This window comes from Homo sapiens, chromosome 2 (genome assembly GCF_000001405.40).
Source record: "Homo sapiens chromosome 2, GRCh38.p14 Primary Assembly".
In the NCBI taxonomy this organism is placed as follows: Eukaryota; Metazoa; Chordata; class Mammalia; order Primates; family Hominidae; genus Homo; species Homo sapiens.
This window is the reverse complement of record NC_000002.12, coordinates 145619553-145632205: the sequence shown is the minus strand read 5'-3', so window position 1 is coordinate 145632205 and position 12653 is coordinate 145619553. Positions and strand designations below refer to the sequence as shown.

The 12653-nt window shown below is 33.9% G+C and overlaps 1 long non-coding RNA gene across 3 annotated transcripts in view; it reads left to right on the top strand.

Annotated features, from left to right (window-relative positions):
- The first annotated feature begins 352 nt into the window (after positions 1-352).
- Positions 353-12653, top strand: part of LOC105373664 (uncharacterized) — a 30933-nt gene continuing 18632 nt past the window's right edge. For 2 of the 3 annotated variants that reach the window (XR_923416.1, XR_923415.1), the window contains exons 1-2: positions 359-516; positions 11244-11335. This is a non-coding gene — a long non-coding RNA (uncharacterized LOC105373664). Of the gene's footprint in view, positions 517-11243; positions 11336-12653 lie in introns of all 3 variants that reach the window. The other variant, XR_923414.2, reaches the window with a different exon arrangement.

Below are 12653 nucleotides of genomic sequence, written 5' to 3'. Positions count from 1 at the left end.
TAACAATTTCTAACATTTAGAAAAGCAACATTGGGTTACATTAAATGGAAACTTTCTAGTTTTAAACCACCACCATGGTGTATTATAACTAGGAAGAGACTGCATTTTTTACATCCTTAATCAACATGATTTTTTTCTATATTTGCAAAAGTTTGGACTTATATTTTACTTAAACCAAACATCCAGAAATAAAATAGAGTGGAAATTTTTTTTTGTTAAAACAAAACAGAACAAGGATATAGATGGCTAAATTTGTGATTTGTTTAAAAAGTGCTATTTAGGCTTAATAGGCATATCTAGGCACACTTCATGGTGAACACTTCTTAAATACTTCTGTACAATACATTTTCAGGTAACTAGATAATCAGAAATCCTAAGACAAGAGGATGCATGTTTAGTAATTGAAGACATCACTTGAAAGAATGTATTCCCTGGTGAGCATCATCTGACTCAGCATCTACAGTTAGAATATGAAGGACAAAGATGAACACACAGCAAAACCAGACACAGCACTTGGTAAATATATAGTGCACACCCTTAGAGCATCCCTTTTCATCCCAGGCTGGCCATAGGAAGAGTTTGTAGGTGCAACCACACACTAAGGCCTTCAAACCGGTGTTTGGTCTCATCAGCTGAGAATAAGCCTTGTTTCGTTGTTAGGTGTTGTTTTTGTTTTCTTTTATTTAGTTTTGAGGATGAGGGCACTACTATTATTTAAGGCTATGTGGCCAGGCCACTATTGTTAATTTAGGCTTATTGCCAGTGAATTTACTAATTAAAACAATGTTTATACTGACGGATACATTAAGAAACATAAAGCTTACTTTAGGGAGATCTCTCTCATCTCCACCCTGTGCCACAATAAAATGCCAATAGTAATAGTGCATGTCACAGACAGCACCAGCTTTAAAAATATAGCGGAGAACAAAAAGAAGAAAGGAAGTGGGGACTGAGACAATGAAAAATGGCAATATTATTTTATTCTAATTCAGATTCTTGACAGGTAACAGGCCTTAATCTATGGAATAAAATCTATGGTACACAAAAGTAATATATGATATAAATATTCTGTTTTAGGACACAGTGAAGCAGTTTAATTAGTTAGAGGAAACTTTAAAGGGAGAATAAAGAGATCTGGGCTTGGGTCCAGAATCTCATTGACTAACCTTTCCCAAATTCCTATTTTAAAATTTCTATCAGGTATAATGGGCTGCCTTAGTGAACAATTATAATATGCATAGTTGTAATACATTTTACCTACATATTGAATTTACTCTGGCTGTTTTTTTAAATATTGTAATAATCCATTTCCACTATGAGATTGTGGCAATTTTCTCTAAGTATTGCTTTTAATTTTGAAATTTCCAGTCTTGGAGATATTCTCTTAGAATTTTATCAATATTCCATATCTCAAAATGTTTTGATAACAAATGATACGATGAAAGAATTATATTGATATTACTGATCATTAAAACATGTCTATTTTCATACCAGCTTGTGTGAGATTGATTCAAGCCTTTTTTCTTATCTATTTCTGATGAATGAACAAACTGCAGAATCCTATAAGAGCTATATTGTAAGCATTAGCACTATGTACCGTAATCAGTGTCCAGAAGACTTCTCGTGTCATAAGAAATTGTTCTTGCACTATTTTAATGGTGCAATTGGAAGAAGTTTATATAATAAATTGCAAATTGGAGGCGGTTATTATAGTAAAGCTCATTCTTGTTAACACCCTATGAAACAAAAAATGGTCTATCATTTATTGAATTGAGAAAATTGTTTGAACTATGAATAAGCTTACCTATCTATTTGAATTTGTCTGTGCCTTGGAATTTTTTTCTTTTTGTTTTTATTTGAGGAAGAATGTGCTTTTTGCTAGACTTGGTAATACTAATTTGACTGTCTTCTGACATGTAACTGATTCAATGTTTAATGGAACTGTAAGAAATGCTCATTCCTTTCCAGATAAAAAATGGTTAAACCTTTGCAATTTCATATAGATCAACTAACTTCTAGGTGGCACGGTTTTCTGGTAACAGGGAAGAATTGGATAATGAGCAAAATGAGAGCTGGCTGACAACTATTTGGAGCTGTAGTACCTTGTAATAGCATGGCTACACAGCTTTCTTCAACTGGCAACATTATTCACTTGATGAAGATTCTTTTATTTTCTTGCAACACATGTATATTGTGTAGCTTGTAGCAGTAGGAGATTCATAAAAATAAGTCAAATAAAAAAGAATCTTATGAAAATTATTCACTTATTGTGTCCTTACAATTCCAAAGTTGTGATATCAATAAGTATGCCTAGACACATTTTAAAAAGCATTTCAGCCATTGGAGAAGCATAACACAATTAATTTTGGTTTAAAAATATGACAATAATTTAGACCCTTCCATTTTATGTAGAAACGCATTGTTTCCCTTTAATAGCACTTTAATGCTATCTTATACTATTAATATAAAAAAGAGATTTTGTACTTGAAAATTGGAAAATATTTAATATGCAAGAAGAAAAATATGTTCAAAAATAGACCTGTGATTGTGAATCTCCATAAGCTAGCCACTTATTATGATGTAAATATTTGGGGTTTCTATGTTGTGTCAAGTCAAGGTGTCCAGAGAATCAACCAATCAAAACAAAAACAATAACACAGATTTAAGGCCCTGTATTACATTTCACTCATTTAGTGAAAAAAAACAAAAGTCAATGAATAAAAACACAAAAGCTCTATTTATATATTCAAAGATTATTTTTTAGTAATTCAACTTTGAAACTTTGTTAGTATTAACAAGAATTTGCTTTAAGAAACTATTTCTGGCTGGGCACGGTAGCTCTCTCCCAGCACTTTGGGAGATTGTGGTGGGCAGATGACCTGAAGTCAGTTGTTCAAGACCAGCCTGGCCAACATGATGAAACCCCATCTCTACTAAAAAGACAAAAATTAGCCAGGCATGGTGGCTTGTCTGTGATTCCAGCTATTTGAGTGGCTAAGGCAGGAGAACTGCTTGAACTCGGGAGGTAGGGGTTGCAGTCAGCCGAGATCATACCACTGCACTACAGCCTGGGTGACAGAGCAAAACTCTGCCTCAAAGCAAAACAAAATTATTTCTTTCCCAGGCTCAAGCAATCCTGTCACCTCAGCCTCCCAAGTAGCAGGGACCACAGGCACATGCCACCATGCCTAGCTAATTTTTTTTTTTTTTTTTTTTTTTGTTAAGATGTGGTCTCACTCTGCTGCAAGAAACTGTTTCTTAAGACTGCACCCTAAACTCTGGAAATAGATCATATGAATCCCCTTTTTGGTCAGTATCATATTTTAGAAGTGGTATACTCAGATAACAGTGTCATCAAGAATGGGGATTCTCCTTTGAGCCTAGTCTGGTCTGCTTTTTCATAGACGCGACTTTATTTAAAGCCACAATAGCTGCCAACAAGAAAGGCTCAAGTAAGCCGAATCTGATCCAGACTCAGTCATGACGACACCTCTGGGGCCAAAGTGTCCTTCAGTTTCATTCTGATGAAAAAGACCCAGGGAAGAAGCACAAATATGGAAAGGCCAAGGAGAAACGCGGGAGGCCCCTATTCCTGGCTGTGTCCTTTTCTTTTCTGTATCAGCCTGTCTTTTTCAATGCTGAAACAGTGTCTTAATTCTTCCATGTGGCACCAGGAATAAAACTGTACTCTTAAGAAAGAAGATGAAACAACAAGTATATAGCATACAAAAAGCTCTTTGCCGTCATTATATATTTTAATAATAATAACAATATTTGAGAAATATTAGTATCCCCATTATAAAATGAATACATTTAAGTCAAAAAGGGACGATTTATTTTGTCCAGCCTCTTATAGAGATTAAGTGGTGAAACTGAGATTTCAATTCAAATCCTGTGACTCCAAATTTACAGTTCTGTACTGTTTTAATGTCTCTCTAATTAGTCCATTCACACTGAGAAGGGAAAAGATTGATAGAGATTTAAGTAATAATTACTAAAATTACCTGGGAACTTCAAAATATTAATAAAGATTTCTCAACTCCAGCTTTAGCTACTATGTTTGAAAAGATCTAGGGTTTTGTAAGGTGTCTATATATTTTTAAAGTTTTTTCTAAGTAATTGCTGCTGCTCAGCCAGATTTGGGAACTTCTTTAAAGTATTGAGACAGTGTTAAAGAATTTGCAAGAATATTTGCATTTTTCAGAGGAGAAAATAAATCTTTTAAAAGAAGCATTTCTACTCAGAAGTTTTGCATTATGTAGATGGTTTGAGAAGGCATTTTGAGGAGGGGGGCAGGTTTCCTGGCACCTCTAAAATCATGACGTAAAGAGAAATACTCTCCTTTCTCAAAACTGTACTCTTACTTGCATAGCGCATGCATGGATGCTGATTTGAAAAATAAGTCAGTAGGCTGCTTATCATTTCTGGTAGAACATAGTCTACAGAACACATTATTTCAAGATTTAGCTTCATCTTTGTTAGCCGCATGGACTTGAGAAAAAATATTTAGCCTTCTTGGGTCTTAGCTTGTTTGTTCATTAAAGGCAGATATTCACATGTATCTCATGGGGTTATCCCAAGGACAAAACAAGCTGTTGTACAGTGTTTGGCCTAGTAGATATGCAACTAGCATTCATTTTAAAAGGATGTAGACTTTGAACAATAACTGTTTGAACCACAGTGACCTTCTATTTGTCAATGTATCTCATCTTATGTTTTATTTTTCTTAGAAGATGCTGCGAAAATAACTTTCCATGAACAAATTTGTTTGGCCAATATAGAATAACTCTCATTGAGAGATTCATAATAAATAAGTTAAAAATCTTGAAGTTTTTCATGAAAAAGATGAGTTTAAACCATAATTTCTATAAACACATGTAGCTATGGAGACCTTTTCCTTATGGGACACCTATTAATATCATAGAAATGATATCCAAAAATAAAAACTTTGGGAAAAGATTCTCCTTTTATTACAAATGTCTTCACAAACACATACAATTTTGCACTTAGGCAAATTGAGAGAGTGTAAAATGAAACTTCAGAGTGTAGAATTTAATTGTAAGTAGGTATTATACTCACATTGTAATAGAGTAGCAGAAGTGAAATCCATCTATAATATGAGATTCCATGTACAGCTGATTTTTTCCTGTTTGCATGTAAGTGTGAATATCTATGTGTATATGTTTATATGAGTATGTCTTCACGTGCGTGAGTTCGTTTGTATGTGTATGTAGAATCAGGAATATTTTTGTAATTACTATATCAATTTGTGAATGATGTATGAAATGTAATTCCCCGTTCAATAAAAAATGATTTATAATCAGTGCTATGCTGTTATACTCTTTATCTTATATGATAAATCTAGACTTACTACTCTTAGAAAGCCTATTAATTTAAATATCAAATCTAAGAACAAATTTAAAATAAAATACTTTAATTTATTTTCCCACATTCTCTCCTACTCTTCAGAGTTCACCTCTACTGGCTGGTATTTTCTCAGATAACCAGTTTATTTACAAAAATCCAAATAACTGAAAATTATGTTGTACACAAAGCTGTATTTAAGTTCTTTCAACATTTGAGGCAAAGCAACAAGAGATTTGACTTCCTCCAAGACCAACTTAGGGTCACTGCTTGTTTGTTTTCCTTCACATGGGCACTCCAGCCTTCCTTAACATCCAATTTGCTTTCAATCAGTGGGTAGTTAAGCTTCAGAAGGAATCCAGCCAAAATAAGCCATCCTTCTGCCAGGCCCAAAGTCTCCTTTCCTACTACTCTCTCTGGGTTTCCTCTTATAACTTACCCTTCACTTAGTTCCATGGAATTTGCCTGGGCTTTCTGAGGGACAATTAACTTCAGGGAGTCATTTGTATATTTCAAACAAAGTGGCAGAATCACTATTCCTGGAGAAAGTAATTGGCAGAAAAACAAAAAATCAACATGAGGACAAGCCCCTCTTCTTACCTTGGCCTTGTTCATAATGACTTTCTACTGATTCTGAAAATGTGGGTTGCTAGGGATAACCTCTTGACTATGACTGCCTCTCTCTGTCTCCCTCTCTCTGTCTCTGTCTCACTCTCTCTCTCTCTATATATATATACATAAATAATATATGCAATATATTATATATATCTAAAGTGAATGAATTATATACATCATATATAAAATGAATTATATATCTATATATATATATAGAGAGAGAGAATGCACATAATAAAGAGGTGGTCAAATTCATAGTGTAAGAAAATTATTTCACATAAGTTCAGGCTTGTCTAAAGCTGTGGAAGCAAGTGCATCTACCACTGAAGGATACACTGCTCTATGCTTCTTCATTTTTTGTCATTTTCTAAGCAATATATCCAGGTTTATCCACACCCCTACCAGTCTCCAAAACTCAAGTCCTGTACTTTCTCTTTTCTGAACACAAACTTTAATAAAAAAGGACCGTAACACATGCAGCCTACTAAACAACACTGCAGAGACTTTAGCTCACCTGATCTGAAGCATCTACCTGAAGGTACCTTGGTTTTACTTTCTGATTTCTCCCCTTGGGCGCCCCTTTCACTTAACAGGCATCCAACTCACCCATAGCAATCATGAACTACAGAATTTAGGAGTGAGAAACCTTCCCTAAAGATACATCCAAAAATGATTTTTTCTCATATCAAGAGCCCTTTAAAATTCTTTTTTAAAATAACACTTTGAAAAAAATAACATCTGTTTAAATCCTTTTATCATGATTTAAACACATTTTCAGTTATCACATTTTTTTCTTATTTTTTTCTTTTTTTTTAAGTTCTTTTTATACCTGTTACCATGGACACAATGTTGCTTGCCTCAGAGTCTAATTAAAATGGTTCCTTGCTCAGCCAGGGATTTAGAGAAGAATCACGTGTTGGGGGAGTGGCATGAAAATCTGAGGAAACTACTGTTTAGGTTCTCTTGATAGAAATGTTTCTCCTCTACTAAAATCTTCTTTCCATTTTACAAAAAATGTTTTGACCAATAAATTTCCAAAAAGACCCAACACATACTGTTTAGAAAATTATGCCCCAGATTTTAATCTCATATGCCTCTGATCTTTGGGTAGGTTTCCATGGGTTATAAAGCAAGGATCTGGTATCTGTATACCAAATATACAGAAGAGGAGGGGAGAGAGGAAATATACACAGTGGAGGGGAGGGAGGAAATTCCCTTCTTGCTAAAATATTGAATATGTGATAGTGGGTCCAAAGTAGAATTTTTAAAATATATTGACAAAGGAATTTTCTACATTGAAATCCTTCTTCCTGTAAAATCATGCTTTATCTCTTTTTATACAGTTGATTTCCTTATTTTGGACTAAATCTCTTTATTATTTTTGTTAAGAGAAAAATCAAACATTTTAGGTGGTCACAAGCTTTGCTTTAACTTAATTGTGATAATGGCTTTGTGTAATACATCATCATGCAAGCGTGCATTTGAAATGAGATAAGTCAGAAATAATTTCTTTTTTTCCCCTTCAATTATAGTGCACACCATTGACAATGTTGACTACCGGGCTGATCAGAATAGATGATGATAATGGAGAAAGTTTTCATGGTTTTCTAGCAAGAGTATAAGCACAGTACTTAAAATCTTCAGGAGTAGAGAGACTTTACTATTTTATTTATTTTCCAAAGCCCATTCACTTTTGTGATTTTAAAAAATTACATACGATCTTAACATAGTTCTCATATCATCCAGCTTCTTATTAGAGAGAGCTGAAAGGTGTTCCAATGATTATTTAATATGAGCTCCTAATAGTTTGGGCCTGGGAGGTCGAGGCGGCATTGAGCCAATATAATGTCACTGCACTCCAGCCTGTGTGGCAGAGGGAGACCCTGACTCTAATAATAATGATAATAATAATAATGATGATGTGAGCCCCTATCTCTTGAAATCTGTCATGACTTTACAATAAGCTTTACCTGATGGTACATTTAGATGATTCTATGTTGTGTGGTTATTAAACAAACCACATAGAAATGAAATTCTATTGAGCAGCAATGCAGTAACAAGTAGTGGCCCAAGCAGCATCCAGCTAATGAGAAGTTGACTAGATGCTGTGGCAAGACATGAGAATTCAAGCAGAATCTGAGTTAGTTGCTAATAAACTACAAGACATTTTGTTGAACCGTCACACACCCTCTCTAATACCAAAGGGTGGGCCCATAGTCTCTAATTTTCTTCCACTTCCAACATTCTGCTATTCAATTTTCTAGCAACAGCTAAATCAGTACCTCTCAAACTACCAATGACTTAGGCTAGCAATTAAGGATTACATTTCCCTGAAGCATAATCTTACTCATAGATTGGGAGAATTAGTTATGTGAGAGTGAAGAAGGAAATTTTCTGGTAGATGAAACAGACTCTCCATGAATTTTATGATGAACTGTGGAATTTTACAGAACTTGTTTGATTATGGTAGGTCGTTTTGGGTTTTAACCACAAATCCCCAAATGTCCAATTTCTTTGTCGTTAAGGTAACTGTACGATATTAGTTGGTAAATATTGTTTGGTTAACTTCATTTGATTTGTTTGTCTCATTCATATTTCGCATTAAAACTGGTGGTTTTTCATTAAAACACATTGCCTAGGTTTTTAGACATATCCTCTACTGTTGCTGAAAACAAGAAACTTAGTAATTTATTATGTTTTTCCCAAGCAGAGAAAACCGCAGTTTTTACATTGAGCCTATAGGAAAAAAGCGGGGAAAAAATACAACTTACTTCTCATTTAACCCCTAAATTGTTTCTCCTTTGACCATTCTGCTGACTGTTTCATCAAACAATATACCAACGCCTGAGTAAATAATAACTGGTCTGTCCCACACATAGTTTATAACCCACAGAAGCAGGAAAGGTCCTTGTAAGGATGCCAGATGACTCTGGCTTGACTAAGGGACAAAAAAAAAGGCAAATATTTCCAGAAAATCAAGTTTGACCTTACCCTTGGTACTTTGAGAATGAAATTTAAAATGTGAATGGAATTCAATTCACTTATATCTATAGCTATTCTTTCATGGTTAAGAAGGCTATAGGAGTAAGGAAAAGTAATGCATTACCTATATTGTCTTGGTTATACTAAATATATACTTTCTTTTTATTTAATTAGTCACTTTGGTGTGTTTAGTTTCGCATTCAAATTAAGATGAAATCCAAAGTTTGAAAATTAAATTTAACAAAGTTCCAAAGCAAAAGGCCACACTGATTCGAAAAGGTGCTATAATTCACTTAGGGATTCTCCTAATCTAAACAGTATTCATTAATTGAAGAAGTATTTAGTAAGCTTCTTCTATGTGACAGTGCCGCATGAGGTGATTTAGATATAGGGAGGAACAAAAGACAGAAGGATTATTCTCTTACGGAGTTTATATTCTACTGAGAGAGGCAGGTGATCAACAACAACAACCACAACTACAAATATGCAATTTCAGAGAAAAATAAGATTTGTAAAAAAACATTAAAATTAGTTGGGCAAAGCTCTGTTTCTTTAGACTGGAATTTGTGAAGGTAAAATTTAAGCTAACAATGGAATGACAAAGGGAAGCACAGTATATGAAAGTCTGAAAGGGAGAATTTCCAGAAAAGGCCTTTAAGACCGTGGTCAGGAGTTTGAATTTCACTTTAAGAAGGGGGAAGCTTCTGGAGTATTTCAGGCAGTGGAGTGACATACATGATCAGGTTTATACTAGCTAACTCCTACTCATCAGTCAGATCTCAGTCCCAATATCACTTCCTCCAGGAAGCATTCTTTAGTCAACTAGGATCCTTTGTTAGATCCCTTCATGACACTGAGATACTTTTCTCAATTGCATTTTGCCAAAAGTTACAACATTTACTTTCTTTGTCTGCTTGTTTTATTAAATCTCTCTTCTCTATTGGACTCTGAGCTTCGTGAAGTTAGGAACTTTGCTATTGTTTGTCTTGTATATCCCTGTTTCTAGCACAACATCTCAATAAAATTCTTTTAAGCATATGCATAAACAAATGAACTATAAATTAATAAATGAGTAAAACATTATGTGTAAGAATGGAAAAATTTAAAAGTCTAGGAATTACAAATACTAAATATTTGACAGACATTGAGGAAGACAAAAAAGTTAGATAAACTCACTTCTTCTCTAATCCACCTGACTTAGGAAGAAGGAGAGTTGCAGAGTGAAAGTCAAATCAGCCTTGTCCTGAAGCCAAGGGCACAGACATAGATGGATTGATATTCTGACTTTTATTTCTGTTCTTTGCTGATGACCAGATTTATCATACAATAATTATTATAGAACATACATTTAACTGCAAAAGTATGTCCCATATCTGCCTGGAATAATTTTACTCTTTGCTTGGATTAAAGGTTTTCTCTGATATTTCCCAGTGGATTCAGAGAAGACTGGGAAACATATTATCCTTGTTTTTGCTTTCTTCCCGGTTGATGAGTCTATATTCTCCAGGAACACGTCTGCCCATTGTTTTCCTGTCTTTTCAAAGGTGTTAAATATCCACTTATTTAGTGGACAAAAATATCTGTTCTTAGTTCCATTCATAACTAGAAAAAAAGACTTTAGCCAGACTAAGATACAGAAGCAAAAGCCCCTGTAGCAAGAGAGAACATTATAAGAACCAGAATGCGTAGTTGCAGCATAGAGGGGGAGAGAGAGTGTGTCTTCAGGTGTCACAGATATTAGTCCTATAGACAATATAAGAGATTTTATCTGTAAACTAAGAAAAATGGAATATTAAAGAGGAAGAAAATGGGAGAGGTAATGGCATTGTCAATAATTTATTTTTAAATTGCAACTCTGGATTCTCTATGAAAGTGATGGCAGGCAGAACAACAGGTGAGTACCTAATGGCCAAGGTAAGAGATGATGGCACCTTTGACTAGGAAAGTCCCAGTGATGAAAAATAAAGGTAAATACATTAAGAAGATATTAAAGAGGTAAAAGCTACTGTTCTTAGTAATATGTTGTGCAGGAGTAAGGACAGTGTCAAGGATAACCCCTAGATGATGGTGCCATTGACTGAGATAAGGACACTTGGAGGAAAACAAGTTTGAGTTTGTTTTTGTACATAATAAAATTGAGTTCCTTCTGGGACTCAATTGAAAATTTAAAATAGGCAATAAGATATAAGAATCAAGAACTCAGGTGAGAGTAATAGAAATGCACATTTGAAAGTCATCAGCTTATGAATGATAATTGAACTATGTTCAATAAAATTCCCCAGGAAAAACAATATGGTGAGAAGAGGGCCTGGCATTGAGCCTTGAGGAACTTCAGAAAGAAAGAGATAAGGCTACCAAGGACACCCAGAAGAAGGTAAACTTCTGCTTATGTGTTACCTTATACAGGAAAGGGGAAGAGAGTGAGACAGTTTTGATATTCAAATTTATTTATTTAATCAATATATACTAAGCACTGTATTATGATATTACTATAGGTTCTAGAGATTCAAAGAAAAGTAAAACACAATCTGTGACAACACAGCCTTGGTAAAAATCTAAGCAGTTCTCCTAGGACAATCAATTTTAAAAACAGGAAAGTTGACATCAATGTAATCAAATAAAATATTCATTACATTTTTTATTCTCAGATATGTTGCGTTTCACATGACTTCTCTATTTTCTTATGAGAATGCATATATTTGACCAGGAAAGAGAAGACTGTAGTTTAAAAAAACATTATACTACTCTGACCTTTTTGATATTCTATTTTTTGATTGGCTAGATTGGAATATCTTATCATGTCCATCCAAGTAAGGGCAAGACTGTAAACACTATCAACTTGACTAGTCAGCCAATCAAATTATAGGGTGTTATAAAGGTCAAAGCAATACAAAGTGCTACGATAATTTACATAACATATGTGCAGCATTACAAGTCCAATATTTCCTTCAGACAAGGATTGAACAAGAACATAAAGGCCTGTGACTGTTTTCTCCTGACAATGGTAGTAGAAGTGGAAAAAACTTTTGGCAAAATTTTTCGTTGAGATTTCTAGAAATTGCTACTGAAGTTAAAAAGTACGTGTGTGTGTGTTTATGTGTGTATGTATGTATATATATATGTATGTATTAGTTGCATAGCTGACTCCAGGTCTCCTGACTTATAGACTGATTTATTCCTTGCCTCTGTCACTTTCTTGGAACTTGTCTATAAACTTCCTACATTCTACCTAATAAATAATAAATATATATATGTGTGTATACACATATATTCATTATAAGTATATACATATACATATGAATATACATACATTATATATATTCATACATATATTATATATGTATATACATATATTATATGTGTATATACATACATTATATGTGTATATACATATATATAATAAATATATACACATATGTTTATTGCATATGTATGTGTGTATATACATATATTCATCAGTTATTAGAATTATATTTTATATATACACACACATATATATATTCATTAGTTATTAATTGAAGTGGATTCAAGGCAAGAGAAAGGATGTAGGAAGTTCATAGAGAAGTTTCAGGAAAGTAAAAAGAGAGCCAAGGAATAAATCAGTCTGTAAGTCAGGAGACCTAGAGTCTGCTATGCTACTAATTACTTGTGAGACTTAGAAAGGTTATCTGATTTCTTGGACCTTATTTTCT